Consider the following 19562-nt stretch of genomic DNA (forward strand, 5'->3'; position numbering starts at 1 on the left):
GCAGCCTCAGCGCCCACTGCTGCTTTCGGAGCCCAAAGCCTGCTTTCTCTCGGCCTCCCAGTGCAAAGCCCATCTTTAAGAAAAATAACCTCCTCCAGGCCGCCTTCTAAGGCCTTTCCTAACCACGAGCCGCACGTGAGCACCTCCACAGGGCAGCCTGGGTGGCTACCTACTATACAGGGACCTCCTCCCCGCCCCCGGTCCACTGGCCAGGGTCGGGCTTCTGGATGGCCCGTGGCCCCTGCCATTAAGAAAGTAAGCGCGACGTCCGCAAAAGCATAAAAAAGTTTATTGGAGCATCACAGCCGGTGGGGCGGGTATTGCTGAGTCGTGGGGGAGGGAGGCCGATCCCGCCGGCCGTAGGGGCCCCTAAAGTGCACTCGGTGCGGCAAGGATGGGGTGTTGCATAGAGAGTCAGGCCGGCCGCTCTAACTCGGCCCTCCGGCCTCTCGGCCCAGCTAAGCCAGACCAGCCTCCCGGCCGCCCGGCGCCCTGGGCTCGCCGCTGCTCGGGCTCACGAAAACGGCGGGCGCACGCGCCTGCCGCGCCAGCGTGGGCTGTCGGCCCCGGCCCCGCGGGGCGGCCAGAGCGGCGCTGCCCAGGCGCGTCTGCGCCACTGGAATCTCGTCCACGGACTCTGCCGACGCCGAGTGGTAGGCGCCGGCAGGGCCAGCGGCGTGCACAGGGCTGGCGTCCGCGGAATCCGTCGACGAGCTGGAGCGGCGGCTGGGGGCCCTAGGCCCTGCGCAAGGGAAGGGAACATGAGCCCAGTGGCTGCGGCTCGCTTGTGGCTCTGCCTTCCCCTCCCTCGAGTTCCCAGAGCAGGACCCGGACAGGGAGAGGCGCTCACCCGACGCCGGATCCGAGGTCTCAGACGTTCGCACTTTATACACGCGCCTCTTCCTCTTTTTCTGCAGAGACACGGGGGAGCCTGAGGGCCCCACATCGCCAAAAGAAGCAGAGGCGAGCGCCAGGGTAGAGGCTTCTTTCTATCCCACTCCACCTGGACCGGAGGCCCAGCACAGTCCCTCCTACCTGGGGTCGGATCCGGGGAGGCAGGGCGAGAGTGTCTGGGGAAGAGGGTGGTGGAGGTTCCGCTTGGCCACGGGTGGCAAGAAACTGGGAGGGACTGAGGGGGAAGCAGGAGGGTAAGCCTGGGGCCTGTTCCCCAAATCCCTCCCCACTGGAGGTGCTGAGAGAAGCTTCCCTTCCTGTTAGCTCAGAGAAGGGCCTGACCCATGCCCCGACCTTAGCCTACCCCCTTCTCCTGCCTCGATGGCCCTGCCATGCTAACTGGAGATGCCCAGTGGCACATGCCCAGGTTGCACTCACTTGGCATTCACTGCTGCTGGCCCGGCCTGGCCAGGGGGCTCTGGGCGCATATGTCTGAAGGTCCGCATGTAGAACTCCATCTCCTGGGGAAGGTGGAAGTCAAGGAGGCTGGGAGGCCAGGTGTGGCTCCCGAGCCTGCTGAGCCCTAAGCCCACGCAGTCCTGCCCTCATTGGCCTCTGTGGGATATCTCAGGCCTCATGCCAGGCTCCCAGCCATGCTGGGAAAACCCCATCTGTAGGGTAAGGCTTAAAACACCCATTTCTGGCCCTTGCCCCATCCCCAGGTCCTTACCTCATCTATTCAGCCTCTGCCTCCTGCAGGAAGGCTCCCAGCCCCCATGGGTCTATAGGCCCAGTTTAGAGAGGCTCAGCCAGGGAGTGGTGGGAAGCTCAGAGCTGCCCGCACCTGCTCCTGGTGTCCCCAGGGATCCAGCCTCTGAACCAATTGTTTTCCCCTGGCTGAGAAACAGGCCTGAGTGTGCATCCACCAGCTCCCGCAGAGCTGAGTCCTGGGCACACCCCTCGCCCTCACAGAGGACCAGCCACGATCCAGGCTGCCGAGAAGGGGCTGCGTAAATGCACATGCGGTGGTCTCCCTGCCACTACACCAAAAGGGAAGGTAGCAGGTGGTGGAACAAACAGAGCCGCAGCCCCACTGAGCACCAGGCTTATGGGCAAGCCCTGATCTTCACAGCAACCCTGAGGGTGCAGACGCGACCCCTGAGAGCAAAGGGGCCTTGAGGCCAGGGGGTTGCAGGAGTGGCCTAGTCCTGCACCCCCGCCCGCAGGACTCGCCCCAGCTTTGCCCAGAAGGACTCCAGGTGAGGAAACAAAAGCCTGGGGAAAGCAGGCCCGGGAAGGGCGTGGTGCGAGATGGGGGCGGGTCCCGGGCGGGGTGGGAGCCGGGAGGGGTTGCCGGGAGCACCCGGACAGCTGTCGCCAGTTCAGCAGCCGTTTCCATGGAGACGGAGGCGTCCTGACTAATGCAGAGAGGACACTGTAACAGCAAGGCCGTCTCTAAAACAAGCCTATGTTTGGGGGCAACGGCTCCAGAGAGGGGCCCCTCCCGCATTCCTGCTGGGGTGGGGGTGGGTGGCTGCCTGCAGGGCCCTGACAGATCTGGGGGAGGAGCCCAGCCAGCGGCCCCGCCCAACCTCTGCCCTGGCTGCTGCTCTGGAGAGGGGTGTGGGGGCGCCAGCCTGGGCCGAGGAGCGCGGGGTCAGGGGTCAGAGGCCAGTCACAGGGACTGGAAACCTCAAGATCACTCTCCCCCACACCTCTTTTCTGCCCCAGTGTGGACTCAGTGACCCTCTAGGGCCAGCAGAGGGGCAAAGCCCACTGGGGGGCCCTGGGCTCCAGAGGGGGGAGCAGAGGAGGGGCCAGCAGTAGAGGAGGTCTCAGAAGCTGAGGGGCCTGGATGGGAAAGGCGCCAGGCCCTAGCCAGCTCAAGAAGTCTGAAAGCGTCCCCAGTGAGTCCCCACTCAGAGCCCTGTCCTCTCTCGCCATGGCTGTCCAGAGGATACTGTCTCAGAGACCTTCAAAACCGTGTACATTCCTGAATGGTACTGGGCCCTCAGCCTCAGCTCTCTGCTTTGTAAAAGAGGACAAGAACACCACTCCTGTCCCCCGGGTTTGCCTCCCTCAAGTCACTGCAGATGGACAGAACAGAAATTAAATGTCTTCGCTGTGGCCACATTTGGCCCCAAAGCCTTGGCAGCGCAGGGCCAAAGAGCCCGCCCTGCTTCAGTGGGTGCTGCCTATGAGGCTTGAGAAAGTCTCCTGCCTACTTCTCTGGGCCTCCGTCTCCTCTTGATGTGGGGCTGGAAACAGTACCCTCTCCCCAGCACAGCTGCCACCATCAGAGCCCAGCACTGGGGCAGGTATACGGTGGTGTAACAGTGGAGTCGCCACCCACAGCCAGCATGCCCCAGGCCCAGGCCTGCCCAGTCCTGGCAGCCTGGCCCACAAGTAGTGTCCAGCCCTGGTGACAAGAACAGAAGAGGTGGGGTCCTAGGCCCTCCCCAACCCACCCACCAGCCTCTGTTTGTGTCCAGTTGCCATGAGGCCTCGGGATCCAGGGCTCAGCCTTCCCCCAGCAAAGCCTGCCCGGGCCCCGCCTTCCTAGTCCCTAGGGGCTCCTTTGACGACTGGATCACCCCCACCCCAGCGGCTGACCTCAGGAAGCCATGGGGCGTGGGAATGGGGATAGGCTGGTCAGCCACTGGCCTGGCCAGGCCGGCCAGAGCGTAGAGACCTTAACTCTTCCCAGACCCAGCTTGTGGTTAACCTTCTAGGCCTCAGTAGGCACATCTGCAGAAGAGGCTGTTCTAAGCATAAATTAGGGTAATGGGTATAAGCGCTCAAGGTCATGGATGAGGAGAAGTGATGGCTCCATCCTGGCCACCCATCACTGACCCCGTCGCTGGTCCATCCCTCTCTCTCCTGCTGCAGCCCCAACCTGCTTGCTTCCAGGCTCCCACATCCCATGCCCTCCCGCGCATGCTTGGCGCCTGGGCAGGTGTGTACGTGGGGTCCGGGAAACACAGGGCTCCCTCTGGCTGTGCCCACGCTTGGGCGAGCAGGCACACGCTCAGCACAAGCCCGGTCCCTGCTGCCCCCAGCGGCTGTTCCAGGCTTGCCTCCCTTGCCCTGTCTCCTCACTGGCTGCTCGCTGCACAGCCCAACACCCCCCACACCCAGGCCCCCTCCCACCCTTCATCCTCTATACCTGAATGGGCCGCATCTTGGGAGGACATGACTCGAGCTCCCTGTGAACCCCCTTGGCCTCCTGTGGTGGGCGGTGCTGCACGATGTACTCATAGGTGGTGAGCTTGTGCCACACTGGTGGGGGGAGGAGAGGGCTCAGTGCGGTGGAAGGGGGACTCTGGAGCTCAGAACAGGAGGGAGGACAACCAGCCCCAGGCTGAAACCAGTGTCCCCAAATACACGAAGCCATCAGGTGAGACCTGGCCACCATAGTGAGCCCATACTAGGCAGGGGCATGGTTTCAGGGTCCACCGTCCAACTGGGCACCTTCCTGCAATCTGAGGACCCCTGCGTTCCAGAAGGCAGGTGCAGGAGGCACTTACTGAGATAAATGTGGAAGCAGAGCAGGTGCCCCAGGAGGGCTGTGGACAGGAGGCCCAGAAGGATGAGCAGGGCGGCCAGGGCCAGGATGGCAGGGGCCTGGGTCTCCACGGGGGCGGCAGGCAGGAACACGAACCACACATCCGTGTGATTCTTCAGGACTGCAAGGCACAGGCAGTGTGTGCTCAGCCGGGGACGTGACGGGTGACCAGGGTTGGGGGTGAGAATAGGCCCGGAGCCTAAACTGACCTTCAAAGTGTCGGTTGGTGCGCAGACGCATGGGGTTGACAAAGAACTCCACGAAGACATATGTGGCCACCAGCACCAGGAGCAGGACGCCCAGTAAAGCGGATGCAACACTGTGTAGAAAGAGCCTGGGCCCAGCCATGGGTCGCTGTCAGCTCCCCGGAGCTCCAGCCTCAGAAGGCCCATAGGAGTTGGGGCTGTAGGGTCATTGCTATGGGCTCAGAGGGCTGAGGGTGACCCCACAGCCCCAACTCCTCAGAAGCCAAAGGCATACGGCAAAACTGAAGATGGGTGGCCACCCCATCAGGCAGCCCACATTTCTCTGGGCCAGCTTGGTGGAAGATTCCAGGCCCACCCTTGGCCATCTCAGCCGGCACCCAGGAGCATCACTCTCTCTGGGCAGCACCCCCGCATAAAACGGGCACAGGTCCTCGAAGCATCCCCATCCCCGCCCGCCTGCCATGCGAGCTGCAAGGTCTGTGGCTCCCACCCTCAGACAGTGCATCCCCAGGCCCGCGTGCGGCCGGGCTGTCCTCACCGGTAGTTCCGCTCGCCCACACAGTTGTTGAGCCACTTGCAGTGGTGGTCGAAACCGCACACGCACTTGTTGCAGGCGCTGCAGTGCTTGGAGCGAGCGCTCCTGCAGGGAGAGGGGGCACAGCGCGATTGGCCGGCTCATTCCCCGCTCTGCGGCCCGGCCGGTCGGGGTGGTTGAGTGGGGTCTGTGGAGGGACCAAGCGCCAGGCCTGAGACAGCCCCGAGCGAGGCGACGAGGAGCGCGCGCGCCCTCTGCAGGCGCTGCGGGGTGGGTCCCCTGGAGGAGGCAGCGCTCCCGAAGAGCTGGGGGACCCCAGAGGCCGCAGGAGGGGTAAGGAGGTGCACCCCTCCTGCTCTGGGATTGTGCGCCTAGCTGATGCGCCATGAAACAGAAAATGGGCGTCCTTTCCAAGCAAAGACCCCGAGAGAAGCCAGAAGATGCAGGTGTGGGCCCAGGGAGCTGCAGACAGCAAGGCTTGGGCCCAGGGCCTGCACTGCCCTTCCCGACACCTCCGGCAGTGGGCCCCTGTTTCCCTGCCATTCTATAGGAATGGTACTGGCATTTTTCCAGAAACTTCAGTCTGTGTGGACTAAGAGAAAAGAGGCAAAAGAAGTGCAGGCTGCCATCCGCGTGAGCATGCAGGTGCTCACCACAGGGGCTCAGGGGAAGTCTCCCAGCCCAGGGAGGCACCGGGGAAGGCCCAAAGGCACAACCCCTCCCCCAGAACAGGGCAGAGCCCTGCAATGGGCAGCAGCTGCTGGAGCAGCTGCTCGGAAAGTGTGCTGGCGGGTGCCCAGTGAATGGCAGGATGGCCTCATGTCCAAGTCCTTGGCGCCTTAAGGCTAGGGGCTTGCTCAGTCTGCAGACAGACCCCTTCAACAGGCTTCCTGGTGGGGGCTGGCCTTGGGCCATATCCCCATCCCTGATCCCCCACCCGAGACCTGGAGACTGGGGGGCTCCAGAAGGGTGGAGAGGGGCCCCTAGAGAGGTAGCTGGGACCAGCCAAGGTGGCGGGGCGCAGCACGTAGTGACTCCTCCATGTTAGCAGAGGGACCTGAGCAAGCCAAATGGCCCCCCTGGGCCTCAGACTCCTCCTGGGTAGACCCCAGGGCAGCAGTATCTGCTTAGGGGCCTGGCCGGCCAGATGTGAATCTGGCTCCGCTATCAGTGGCTGTGTCTGGCCTATCAGCCTTTCTAAGCGCTGGGCTCTTCCTCCTCCATGAAGTGAGAAAGCCATGCGGGGTGGCTGCAGGAAGAGCTCAGCACACAGTGAGTGTCAGGCATCAACACCCCTGCCCACCCCTATATGGGAATACTGGCGAGAGATGTGAGGGTGTCACTGGCAGAGCCGCTCATTAGAAATGTTTGGGCAGGGCCAAATGTTTCCTCCTTTAACTGCTGGAATACTACTGATCTTCTGTTTCCAATCACCTTCTCCTCACCTTCTCAGTAACCCAATACTCTGTCACGCCATCAAGGTTCTTGACTGCATAAAACATGAGGGTTCTGAGGCATCAGGGATGTCTGTGAAGCCCTGGCACCCCCTCTCCACCATACACCCCACAGCACACTCGGCAGCCACAAGCACCCACACACACTCACACATCCACGTTGCACAAGTTGCAGTGCAGGTCTTCAATGACATGTGCGTGCTGGCTTCGGTTGAAGATGGGCAGGGGCCCCGCATAGCTCTTGTCCCGCACGTTGGCATCTGCTGGATCGATGGAGACGGCGGTCAGGTGCACCACAAGGTGGCCAGCAAAGATGGCGCCCATGCACTGGCCCAGCAGGTTAAAGACTCACTCCACTCTGCCGGCTGGGAGTCCTGCCCCGTTCCTTGCAGCCAGAGAACTCCCCACTGCCATGCCAGCCCGCTTTGTGCAGATTCTCTGCCTCTGCCACCTCCTACCTCCAGTCCCCCAAAGCCTCCTCATCAGACCTCTCCAGGTAACCCCTATGCCCCAAATGGAAAGAGGGAGAGGCCATCTAGGAAAGGAGTCCACAGCCAGCCAGCAGTGCCTGCTGTCGCCACCTAGGTGCCCAATCGCAGGGTCCTGGCCTCACTGCTCCAGGCCTGGTGCAGGCCCTGGCTGGTCTGACCTCAGGCTGGTTTCTGGTTTCAGATTCCAAATGGTGATGTGAGACTGAAAGAGATCAACCCCACCTAAGGTCCAAGAACCTGAAGTTTAAGTCCCAGCTTCCTTATCTTGCTTTCATAGGAAGTCACCTCCAAAAGGGATGCAGCCACCCCCCTTTTCAGTAGCTGGGCCAGATGGAGAACCCCTTGCAGACACGGATTCGGACACTTGCTACCTCCCCTACCAAGAATCTAGGCACCTGGAGTCCTGGGCTGAGTGTCTGGAATGGCCTGCCATGTTCAGGGCCTGGCCAGGGACAGCATGGCTAGTCTCTGAAGCTGAAACAGCTCTTCCAGGATCTAACTGCTCAATGACTGGGCCAAATGCAGGAGACAAGTTTGCTGACAATTTGCTACAAAGTCTGATGTTTAAAAATTCACCCATAGATTCCACCCAGGCAGCCATCCACTCTCCCTCCCTTGATCACACCCACTTCAGCCCAAAATTCCACTGGTCCTCTTGCTAGCCAGGCAGACATCATCCCTCCATCATTCATGCTCTACCCATCATCCATCTGCCATCCTTCATTCATCAGCTGTCCAATCTCTTTTCCTCCCTTCCTCCTCCTCCCAGCAGCCAAATTTCTCTACATATCTGCATAAACCAGGCTCCGCCCTAATGTGCCATAAGCATAGCTAAGAGAGACAATCCTGTGGCCATCACTACCCCTTCTATCCCTATGGCCAAGTCTTCATCTCTTGCCTGTGCCACTCTATAGCCTCCCAACTCTGCGCCTTCTGTCTGAGTTCCCTTGAGTCTATGCTTCACATGGTCTCAGAGTAAGTTTTTAAAAGCTCAGACCCAAAGCCCTCCCTGCTTGCAACCCTACAGTGGGTCTCAACAGCTCTCTGACTGAAATTCACTCCTCTGCTCAGTGCTAAGGTCCCTTTCCCTCTGGCTCCTCCCAAACCTCTCTGCTATCACCAGCTACTGTGCTCACCATGCCATCCACTCTTCAGACACTGAATGAGGGCAAACATTTACTCCCTGCCTGCTCCAACTCTTCTCCCGCCTCACCCCCAGGGTCATTCATTCAGCTGTCTACTGAGGTCTTTTGTTGTGACAGGCATTGAGGGATACGGCAGGGGCAAGAGTCCCTAGCACTGAAGAGACTGCAGTCTGGTGGAAAACATGGAATTTTTTTTTTTTTTTGAGATGGAGTCTCGCTCTGTTGCCCAGGCTGGAGTGCAATGGCACGATCTTGGCTCACTGCAACCTCTGCCTCCCAGGTTCAAGTGATTCTCCTGCCTCAGCCTCCCGAGTAGCTGGGACTACAGGTGTTCGCCACCACGCCTGGCTAATTTTTGTATTTTTAGTAGAGCCAAGGTTTCGCCATGTTGGCCAAGGCTAGTCTCAAACTCCTGATCTCAGGTGATCTGCCTGCCTTGGCTTCCCAAAGTGCAGGGATTATAGGCATGAGCCACCACTCCTGCCCAAAAACATGGATATCAATCAAATAATGAGTTAATTACAATGAAGAAAGTTCGTGGGACTATGCCAGTTTATAACCAAATGACCTCATCTAGTCTGAAGGGGTCCAGAAGGCTTACCTGAGGAAGTATTGTCTCAGCTGAGACAGAGAGGAATGGATTCCAGGGACCTGGCAGGCAAAGAGGAAAGGGGGCCTGGCTAGGGACTGTGGCTGTGGGGAACATGTGGAGTGCCAACCAGCAGTTTGGCTGAAGTGTGCCTCCAGCTCACGGCTGTCTTGCAAGAATGCAAGAATGAGGGTCTGTGTGGCCAATTTCTGGCTTCTCAAAAGGAACCAGAAGTCTGGGTTTTTATGTGAGATCTCTCAATGTTTAAATGTTAAGGAAATAAATAATTTAAAAAACATGCCTATAGAAGGAACATTAAGATCTGTGCATTTTCTTTGTTAACTATCCTTCAATTCAAAAAAACAAATCTGCAGGCTGGACTGGCCCATGGGCTGCTAGTTCTCGGCCTCTAATTTAGCTGCGTGTTGGGAGCAGGGAGAGAGACAAGGGGCTTCCGGGCAGAGACCAGTGCCGTGGAAACAGAAGAGGACAGGGAAAATCACATCAGAGGAAATGGGGGAGAGAGGCAGAGTCCAGAATGCGGAGCCTTGACGCCATGTTGAGCCTCATTTCTTTTGTTTTTTGTTTTTTTTTTTTGAGACAGGGTCTCCCTCTGTTGCCCAGGCTGGAGTGCAATGGCGCTATCTCGGCTCACTGCAGCCTCCGCCCCCCGACCCGGGTTCAAGCGATTCTCCAGCCTGAGCCTCCCAAGTAACTGGGATTGCAGGCGTGTGCCACCATGCCCAGCTAATTTTTGTATTTTTAGTAGAGATGGAGTTTCGCATGTTGGCCAGGCTGGTCTGGAACTCCTGACCTCAGGTGATCCATCCGCGTCGGTCTCCCAATATGCTGGGATTACAGGTGTGAACCATCGCGCCCGGCCTTGAGCCTCATTACTTAAGGCAGGAAGAAACCATTAGAAATCTTGGAGCTGGGGCGCAACATTATCAGATTTGGTTTTTGGAAAGAGCAGGAATGCAGATGGGCTGGCCGAGGTGAGAGCGTGTGTGTGGGACCCGTTTAGAAACTCAGCGGTCATCCAGGGAAGAGAGGCAGTTGGCAGTGGCAGAAACCGGGAGCCAATTCAATGTCTATTTAGGAGGCAATATCAACAGGGCTGGATGACTGACTGGATTTAAGTTAGGAAGGAAGCGGGAGGAGCCAAGAGCATGTGGGGAGAGGTGGGGCGGGGGAGGGGGGGAGCCACAGGCCACGAGTGTGCCTGTGGACATGCGGTGATACTGGTGTAGGTGGCCTCTGCTTGCCCTCACAGTCTGCTGCACTTACCATGTGGCGTGATCACCACGTGGCGTGCACCAGCCTTCCCTTCAGCTGGGGGCCCAGCACCCTAGGGCTCAGCTTGTATCCCTAAGGCCCAGGCCAGTTCCAGGCCCAAGGTGGGTACCTGGTACCCATTATGACCTTACCTCACTTCTCAGGGGACCTGAGAGAGCCTGCAGAAAGAAGGCTTTGATGGAAGGAAGGAGAGCATATAGGCTGGTCAGGCATGAACCAGGTGGTTCTGTGAGCCTCTGCAATGCTCAAAGCAGACGAACCCTGAATGCGGAGACAAAGCCCTCAACCCGCCCCTCTCAGGACAGTCAGGCTTCCTGGGCAGCCCATCTGGCCTCACTGGGTGCCCGCTATGTGATCTCAGGAAGTCACAGAACCTCTGTGCCCAGCTTCTTCATTAGGAAATGGGGAGAATACCTCCTTAAGGATTACAATGAGGACCAAATGAGATCATTCATGTAAAGTGGCTGACGCAGGGCCTGGCACATGTAAGGGCTCAATAAAGTCTACTGCCTTCTGTTTATCATGATTTGCTCTGCTTCTACTTGTACAAGGCATGGGGTTGTTCATCTGGTTAATCTGGTTTCCCAGGTATCCTGATGGGAGGAACCCAGGTGATCCCTAGTGAGGGGCGTGTCCATTCCAGATCACAGGAGGAATGTCCCATGACGCATTCCCATGTCCCATGACTTAACAGCACTAAGACCTGTTGGTCACCTCAGGGAAAGTCCAGTTTTCCATTCACAGAGCTGATGACCAGACCCTGGGCTCTAGTGAACAAGAAGCCCCCAGATGGCACTGCTGTGTCTGAGGATGACAACCTCCTCTAGGGTCCGCCTCCACATACCTACCCTGCCACTCACCAGCCCAGGGCTTTGCGGTTTCCTAAAAGAGCATGTTCACATTTGTGGCTTAATGAATTCTAGTGCTCACATATATCCTAAGTGCTCCAGGTAGGAGCCTTCCCATCAGACAGAGGAGGAGGCAAAGACCCACAGAGCTGGCAGGAGCTGCTCGGTCCCGTGCAGCTCTGAAGGTGCTGAGCAGGGACAGAGCTCACCACAGGCTGGATGTCCCAGGCTCTTAGGCTTATCGCCGCCAACCACCCTTAGACCGCCCTCACCTTCCCCACAGGAGTCATCTTTGTGAAGGACACTCAAATAGGAACTCTCTGGAAAGGAGCACAGAGATGCCTGCTTCACTGCAACCCCTGGCCTTGCAGCCACATCCTCTGCTCCTGGGGGCTGTGGCCAGGGATGGGGCAATCACACCACTGGGCTCAGGCGAGTCTCGGTTTGTCACTATTCCCAGGGGCATTCGAGGTATCTCCATCCCATCTCTTGTCACATTCAACCTCACTCTAAAAGGGTCTGATGTACAGAATCAATGTGCCCATAAACAGTCCTGGGCACAGTCTGTCCATGAATAAAACCATATTTTAAGGCACCAGGACACTTATTATGTAAAAGAATTCTACGGTGACTCTTTGAAAAGTGAAAAATTCTTCGATAGATGGACTAATTACTCCCTACTTCATCCTTTGTTCAGCTCTGAACACAATTAGCATCAGGATGGTTTGAGGCTCCTCCTTCTATGACTGCTCCTGTGGTGCCTCTGTGGACAGGATTCACATCTTTGTGGGGCTTCATATGCTCCTAGGTATTTTAGGCATGCCCACTCACCCTATCAGGTGGAGAGGTCAGGTGGAGGCTGGAGACAGGCTGGGAAGCAGCAAGTCCCCAGGACTGGGCCCACCCTGCTCCACTCTCCTGACTGTGCTCCCCAAGGCTCTCAACCCGGCTTTGGGCCTCCGCTGTGCCAGCCATCCTTTGCCTCCCCACTTCCACACACCAGCCCTACGCTTTCCCAAGGATACAGCGTAGCCAGCGGGCACCCAGTGGTGAGGCAGGAGGGGAACAAGGATCCCAAAGCCGATCACAGCAAAGAAGAGGTACAGCAGCCAGGCCACAATCTGGAGCGGGTGAGGGGGCCAGCTCCACCCATTCCGGCGGGATCGCTGGCCCTGCAGCTCAGGGGAGGGTCCGCTGGGCTGTGCCGGTGCCGTCCACACACTCTTCTCAGGGGCCGTCTTGTTGGAGGGCTTGTTGCAGATGTTCATCTCCAGAGGGAGAAACAGTAGAGAGAGCATTAGCCCAAGAAGCTGGGCTGGAGCCCAGGGCCTGTGTCTGCAGCCAAGTTTCAGCACAGGGGGAGTAGGCTGCGACAGCTACTCTGCTGGGGAAACTGGGGTCCTAGCACAATAGAGATGGGCAGTGGGGAGAGGGTGGGAGTGGGCTGCTGTCTCAAAGCCCAAAGCAAACCCTGGCCCTAGACTGGCCAGGACAAGGTAGGAGGGCCCAGGATTTATTCAGGACACAGTGCTGCTGCCTGTAACTCAAAGTGCTGTCTTCACAGCCATCACAGTTAAACCCAATAAGACATGTTCTCATCTGGTAACAATATCAGGCTGGGGCCAGAGTGATGAGAACACATGCTGATTCTGTTAGGATTAGTCACCTCCTTCCTGAGGTCCAAATGCAAGTGTCAGACACCCCCGCTATCCTTTGCTCAGGGAAACGGGGAATGGGGTGCCCAGAAGGAGGATCTGCCCTCTCCCCCACGGTGGACAGAAAATCCCTTTAGGACTGGGGGAGTCTGAAGCTCTGCCCCATGCTGCCTGAGGGTTCTCAGCTGGGGAGGGGCCAGCACATGTGAGGAAGGGAAGGATTCCTCTTTAGTTCCCTTCAGCAGCAGAAATGACCACGTTTCTCTAAGTAAATCTGGGCCTGGTGTACAGTTTTGTACAGAAAGGTGGGCTAACGCCCTTGGACTCAGAGCCAGACCACCAGATGGCATCAACCACCCCCTCCACCCGCCACCCTCTAGCCGGACAGCTGGCCCAGGGTCCAGGGATGAATGCCAGGCAAGAAGGGGTAGGCTACAGGAGGAAGACCCCCATCCCCAGGATATGGGCCCAAGATGGGACAACAGCTCAGGCAGGCAGCGCCACACCTGGGAGACAGGCCAGCTCTGCGCTCATGGTGGGAAGGCCAGGAGCTGGGACTAAAACCCTGGTAGCTGAACTCTCCTTTCAGGAGCCCCTGCCCATGAGACAGGGAACCTAAGCAGAAAGGGTGCCGCAGACCCCGACTCAGTGCATCTTCCTGGATCACCTTTCTCACTTCTCAATCCACAGAATGAGGCTTGATCTTCAGAGCCAACTGCAAGGGTTGCCTCATCCAGGAAGCTTTCCCTGATGCCCTGAGTCAGGGGGCCCTTATGCTAAGTCATTGTTGGGCAAATTACTTTGCCATTTGGGACGCTTTGCAATCCTCATGTCTGCCCTCATTAGGACAACTTTCCCCAAAGGCAGCAAATGTGCTGGGTGGGGTTTATTCATCTCTGTCCCCTATGTCCCTTCCCCCAGGCACCCAAAATTGTACCTTGTACATAGTAGATCCTCAGTAAATGTTTGCTGACTTGAAAACAGCTGAAATAAAAGGAAACGTGGGCACAGTAAATGGTGTGGAATCCTGGTCCACCCTAAGCCATCTGGCCTGCTTTCTCCTGCCTTCCATCCATCCAGCCCTGCCCTCTTTCTGCAGGGTCGTGAACCCATGCCTCCCGCAGCCCATCTCCCTCTGCCGGCTGGCTACCACCCTGACTGCCAGACACTCACTCCTAGCCACCCTGCCCTTCAGCCCACCTGAGGCTCAGAGCCTCCTGCAGGCCAAGCCAAGCATTATTTGAAGTGACCTCTGAGTTGTCCCATCTCAAAGCTAAATGGAGGACTTAGTTTTCCCCCAGGGATTCAACTGGTGGTATTTGGGTTTTGGGTTTAGGGTTTTTTTTTTTCTTCTGAGACAGGATCTTGCTCTGTTGCCCAGGCTGGAGTGCAGTGGCACCATCACAGCTCACTGTAACCTTGACCTCCTGGGCTCAAGTGATCCTCCCACCTCAGCCTCCAGAGTAGCTGGAAGTACAGGCACGCACCACCACACCTGGCTACTTTATTTTATTTTTTTGTAAAGACAGGGTCCCACTATGTTGCCCAGGGTGGTCTCCAACTCCTGGACTCCAGACTCAAGAGATCCGCCAGCCTTGGCCTCCCAAAGTGCTGGGATTAGAGGCGTGAGCCACCGTGCCCGGCCTTGCTTTGTTTTGTTTTGTTTTTTGTTTTTGAAACAGGGTCTTGCGCTGTCACCCAGGCTGGAGTGCCGTGGCGCAATGATAGCTCACTGAAGCTTCAATCTCCTGGGCTCAAGTGATCCTCCTGCCTCAGCCTCCTGAGTAGCTAGAAATACAGCGGCGTGTTGCCATGCCTAGCTATTTATTTTTTATTTTTGCAGAGACAGTCCCACTATGTTGCCCAGGCTGGTCTCCAACTCCTGGGCTCAAGCGATCTTCCCACTTTATCCTCCCAAAGCACTGAGATTACATGCATGACCCACTATCCCAGCCCTCACTTTCTTTTGCATGTCCCCAAAGATAGCAAATCTTTGTCCTTGTATTGTGGAATTGTCAAAGGTCATCAGGTCAAGCCCTGTGAATATGATTGGGTTGGATGGTTCTGCTCTGGGGCCAATCTCTGTGGCTTGCACATCAGCTCCCCAGTGACACCATCACCAGGGCAATTACTTTGAAAGGAATCCATTAATTTGGATTCCTAAATTCTGGCTCTCCTTTTGCCATCCCCAAACCTGAACAACCCTACACCTTGCAGGAGTTTCCAAAGAGCAAAACAGACGCATGCAGCTGATCTGGCCCCACTGCCTGGCAGTGGCCACAGGCACCCCCAGAGCTGCTGTATCCCTGACTCCTGAGGCAGGAGGAGTCACCATCTGCAGCCAGGCGCCCGCCACTTACAGCCTTGGGGATGGCTCTGACTCCAAATCAGGATACCCCCTGATACTCCAAATCAGGATACCCGCTGATACTCCAAATCAGGATACCCCCTGATACTCCAAATCAGGATACCCCCTGATACTCCAAATCAGGATACTCCCTGATACTCCAAATCGGATACCCCCTGATACTCCAAATCAGGATACCCCCGATACTCCAAATCAGGCCCAGGAAGGGAGCACTTGTCTGAGGCTGTGGATGTGGGGATGGTGCTGCCAGGCAGACCTCCCTCAGCAGAGGCAGCATTCTGGTATAGACGCCCAGGCTGGCCCAGAGGCATGCCCAGGCCAGCCCACTCTTCACTGACGACATTTTCTCCTGCAGAGTTGGTGGCTACAAATTCCTTCGGCCCAAAAGATTTTGATTAAAAGGGCTGGGAGGTCGGAGAGAATCCAAGATGGGGCTCCCAGGCCCATGGATGGGACCAAGCACTGTCACCAGACCCCGGGACTTCTCTGGCTGTTGCTCCCCTCTCAGCACTTCTCTAGGAGACCAGATTGAAAGACATGTGGCTCTGTTCTCCAACGACGTAGCCAGCTGGCACCCTCTGACCTTGGCCAGTCAGCACTTATCGGAGCCCAGCCTGCGCACTTAGGATGTAAACACAGATGAGACCGGGTGCCTGCCCTCAGGGGCTTCTCTTCTGGGACCTGGACGGACACGAACAGATACCAGGGCAGTGGGTGAATGGGCATTTTGGCAGCCCATGCAAGGGCCAGCCATCCAATGTGGCAGAACACAGGGTGGACAGGTGGCGGGGGTGGGGGGTGGGGGAAGGAGGGAATGGAGAGCAGGACCCAGTGAGAGATGGGACTGAAGGAGTTGCGGGGCTCAGATCACAGGGGTCTAGGAGGCCAGGTGAGGACACATGGGCACTGCTGGAAGAGCCACATGGAGGCAAAGCAGGCTGAAGGCATGAGAGTGACCCAATGGCTCAGGGTGCTTTGGAAAACTTTCTAGCCAGTGGGGAGGAGGGCATGGGGGAAGCGGCACCACAGTGGCCCAGCAGGGAGCCCAGCAGCCCTGTGCTTTGGGAGAAACTTGTCAGAAGGTGGCGGTGAAGCCCACAAGCTCCTTGCTGCCCACCTGGCTACCTCCAGCTGCATCTTTGCAAGGCTCAGAGGTACACAGCCTTGGGAAAACATTCTTCATGTACCTTCTACTGCCACAGAACAAACCATAGAGAGTCAGGCTGGCCGGGATAAAGGGAAGACAGGAAGGAGGGTGTCCCGTGGCCTGGGTAAGCCAAGGACCCACCTGGCTTCTGAGGCAGGCAGGAGGGGCTGTGGAGGCCCCTCCCTTATCCCCCACAAGGTGAAAGCCATTGGCAGGATGACAGTAATCTGTTCACATTAACATTCACTTGCTAAAAGCCTTAGATGGTGTTTTCAATATAAGGTTAGGCTACCTTAATTAATTATTATTATTATTATTATTATTATTATTGTTATTATTTAGACTGAGTCTCACTCTGTCGCTCAGGCTGGAGTACAGTGGTATGAGCTCAGCTCACTGCAACCTCCACCTCCCAGGTTCAAGCGATTCTCCTGCCTCAGCCTCCCAAGTAGCCGGGATTACAGGCATGCACCACCACGTCCAGCTAATTTTTATGTTTTTAGTAGAGACGGGGTTTCACCATGTTGGCCAGGATGGTCTCAAGAACTCCTGACCTCAGATGACCCACTCAGCTCGGCCTCCCAAAGTGCTAGGATTACAGGCATGAGCCACCACGCCCTGCCTGCGTACCTTAATTTATATGCTTAAGTCAAATGAAGGAAATCTTAACATTTTAAGTTCTCATTACGAACTACATTATAGTTACATGAGTGACCCACTTTCCTCCTGCCCACCTCTGCTCCCAACAAAAAAAAAACCATTTAGGAATGTTGTTCTGAAATTCATGCCTAGCACTCTCAAAGGAACCACACCAAGGTGAAAAGTACCAGCCCTGGAGAGACTGCGGGCATCCCTGGATTCCTGCAAGCTACCTGAGGGCTTCAGAATCAAGTTAATTACTAAAGAGGGTTTGCCAGGAGAGGACAAGGAACTGGGAGGGCAGGGTGATGGGGTCAGAGGAGAAAGCGACGGGGTTGAAGCAGGTGCTTGGAGGGCCCTGCACTGCCAATGGGGAGACGCAGGTGGGATCAAAGGAAGAGGGCTGAGCCTGGAGTAGAGCCCTTTTCTGGTTCCCGAGCTGCCACTCACAGACTGAGGAACATTGGGGCAAATTTCACAGATCCACTTCTTTGGATCTCTTCTGTACTCATCTTTCAACAAAGTTCAGTGAAGCAATTTGGCAATATCCAAGTCTGGCGAAACTTTAGAACATATATGCCCTTTGACCCAGACATTCCATTTCTAGGTATTTATCTTATACATATACTCACAAAGATTTACTGCAGCATTGTTTGCAATAATAAAGGACAAAAGACAATACAAATAAACTATGGCACATCCATACAATAAAATGCTAGGCAGCATCAAAAGCAAGGGATAAAAAAAGAAAAAAAAGGGATGAAGTAATCTTTGATACACAATTAAGTGAAAAAGCAAGATGAAGAACACTTGTAGATGGCGCTACCAAGTGAATGAAAACAAAGGGGGCCGGGCGCGGTGGCTCACGCCTGTAATCCCCACACTTTGGGAGGTCGAGGAGGGCAGATCACTTGAGGTCAGGAGTTCGTGACCAGCCTGGTCAACCTGGTGAAACCCCATCTCTACTAAAAGTACAAAAATTAGCTGGGCGTGGTGGTGCGGGCCTGTAGACCCAGCTACTCGGGAGGCTGAGGCAGGAGAATTGCTTGAACCCGGGAGGCAGAGGTTGCAGTGAGCCGAGATCGTGCCACTGCGCTCCAGCCTGGGCAACAGGCGAGACTCTGTCTCAAAAAAAAAAACAAAAAAAGGCTGCGGGGATGGATAGATATCTACATTCCTATACGCACAGATTTTCTCCAGAATGAAATGCAAGAAACCAAACACAGGAGCATCCCCTAGGAATGAGACCTAGTGGTCCAAGAGCTGTAAGACAGAAATTGCATTTCCTGGTACTCCTTCAAACTGTTCAAATATATATATATTTTTATCATGAGCATGTACTGCTTTTGAAAAAAAAAAAGTATGTCTAATAATAAATGATTAGGGGATGTCACCTCCTGCCTTCCTGGCCCCACTGAGCTGCCTTGTGGATGAAACACACTCGTGTGATCTAGAGCCCTGTTATCATGCCAGACAAAGAATTCCTGCCTAACAAGGGGGCTTGGTTTTAGTGAAATGTTTTCTCACTCTTGAAAGCAATTCTAAGACGCTTGGCTGCAGAGCTATGAGGAAAAGCCACAGAACTTCCTATGAACTGTTAGGGATCTTGTCAAAGCTGGAATCACACAACCAGACAGCACAACAGAGGAGCTGCTAGGCAGGACCTGCTTCATCCTTGGCCACAGCCAACTCAGCTACCTGAGACTCCCAGAACCCGAAGGGAAAGTGCACTCCACAGGAAACTTTTGTTCCCATGCATCTTGTCCTTTTGCTAGAGGACTTGTGGTTTCCATGTGAGAGATTTTCTTCTCTTTTCTTTCACTTTTTTTTTTTTAAGACGGAGTTTCACTCTTGTTGCTCAGGCTGGAGTGCAGTGGTGCGATCTTGGCTCACTGCAGCCTCTGCCTCCTGGGTTCAAGTGATTCTCCTGCCTCAGCCTCCCGAGTAGCTGGGATTACAGGTGCCCGCCGCCACGCCCGGCTACTTTTTGAATTTTTTTAATAGAGACGGGGTTTCACCATGTTGGCCAGGCTGGTCTCGAACTCCTGACCTCAGGTGATCCACCCGCCTCGGCCTCCTAGCCACTGCACCCAGCCTATTTTTTTTTTTTTTAAGAGACAGGATCCTGCTTTGTTGCCTAAGCTGGAGTGCAGTGGTGCAATCATCGTTCACTGTAACCTCAAACTCATGGGTTTATGCAAGCCTCCCACCTTGGCCTCCCAAAGCGCTGGGATTACAGGTGTAAACAACCGTGCCCAGTCGGGAGATTTTCTATCTATGAGTATTCCTAAATGAACTTTCCGTTTCCCCCAGGATCTGCTTTTGAAATAATTTTCACTGAGATTTAACAGATGCCCAGTTGAACTACCTAAAGGGAAGCTAGAAAGAAAACACTTCACGGTACACAGATTTTTACACTGCAAAAAGTCATTTACAAAAGATTCTTTAGGGACAAGTACTTTGTTTATTAAAATTCCCCACAGGTGCCAGAGAAGTCTCTGGCCTTAAAATTCTGAGAAGCAGCTCTAGCTCAACTAACGGATGCGCATCACACAACTACCAAAAATTAAACTGGAACTTCAAGCTGTTCCCAAAGACCTCTCAAGTCACTGATCTCAGATGTGGCTGGGCCCTTGCTTTCTCTCTCATAAACAACAGGTGGAAGTCTGATGCTGGTTGGACCCAGTGGCTCATGCCTGTAATCCCAGAACTTTGGGAAGCCGAGGCGGG

At 55.7% G+C, this 19562-nt stretch overlaps 1 protein-coding gene across 7 annotated transcripts in view, besides 3 other annotated features; it reads right to left on the bottom strand.

Annotated features, from left to right (window-relative positions):
• The window catches only part of ZDHHC1 (zDHHC palmitoyltransferase 1), a 22326-nt gene continuing 2764 nt past the window's right edge, over positions 1 to 19562 (bottom strand). The window contains exons 2-12 of one of the 7 annotated variants that reach the window (XM_024450246.2): positions 13616 to 13662; positions 12049 to 12291; positions 6806 to 6981; positions 5204 to 5305; positions 4669 to 4793; positions 4422 to 4580; positions 4061 to 4173; positions 1333 to 1415; positions 1036 to 1070; positions 851 to 931; positions 1 to 742 (exon numbers count right to left, since the gene is read on the bottom strand). In XM_024450246.2, coding sequence (XP_024306014.1) covers positions 459 to 742; positions 851 to 931; positions 1036 to 1070; positions 1333 to 1415; positions 4061 to 4173; positions 4422 to 4580; positions 4669 to 4793; positions 5204 to 5305; positions 6806 to 6981; positions 12049 to 12291; positions 13616 to 13624 — 1410 coding nt within the window. In that variant the 5' untranslated portion in view covers positions 13625 to 13662 and the 3' untranslated portion in view covers positions 1 to 458. Of the gene's footprint in view, positions 743 to 850; positions 1130 to 1332; positions 1416 to 4060; positions 4174 to 4421; positions 4581 to 4668; positions 4794 to 5203; positions 5306 to 6805; positions 6986 to 12048; positions 12292 to 13615; positions 15728 to 19562 lie in introns of those variants that run through there. The other 6 variants (NM_001323627.2, XM_006721185.3, XM_024450247.2 and 3 more) reach the window with 6 other exon arrangements.
• Positions 11667 to 12552: an enhancer, noted in NCBI's record as "H3K27ac-H3K4me1 hESC enhancer chr16:67439721-67440606 (GRCh37/hg19 assembly coordinates)". NCBI's record gives its function as "activates a minimal SCP1, AML or CMV promoter by ChIP-STARR-seq in naive H9 embryonic stem cells {active_cell/tissue: H9 hESC(naive)}" and the evidence as "EXISTENCE:reporter gene assay evidence [ECO:0000049][PMID:30033119]".
• Positions 12553 to 13439: an enhancer, noted in NCBI's record as "H3K27ac-H3K4me1 hESC enhancer chr16:67440607-67441493 (GRCh37/hg19 assembly coordinates)". NCBI's record gives its function as "activates a minimal SCP1, AML or CMV promoter by ChIP-STARR-seq in naive H9 embryonic stem cells {active_cell/tissue: H9 hESC(naive)}" and the evidence as "EXISTENCE:reporter gene assay evidence [ECO:0000049][PMID:30033119]".
• Positions 13440 to 14325: an enhancer, noted in NCBI's record as "H3K27ac-H3K4me1 hESC enhancer chr16:67441494-67442379 (GRCh37/hg19 assembly coordinates)". NCBI's record gives its function as "activates a minimal SCP1, AML or CMV promoter by ChIP-STARR-seq in naive H9 embryonic stem cells {active_cell/tissue: H9 hESC(naive)}" and the evidence as "EXISTENCE:reporter gene assay evidence [ECO:0000049][PMID:30033119]".

The sequence above is a fragment of the Homo sapiens genome, chromosome 16 (genome assembly GCF_000001405.40).
Source record: "Homo sapiens chromosome 16, GRCh38.p14 Primary Assembly".
Taxonomy (NCBI): domain Eukaryota; kingdom Metazoa; phylum Chordata; class Mammalia; order Primates; family Hominidae; genus Homo; species Homo sapiens.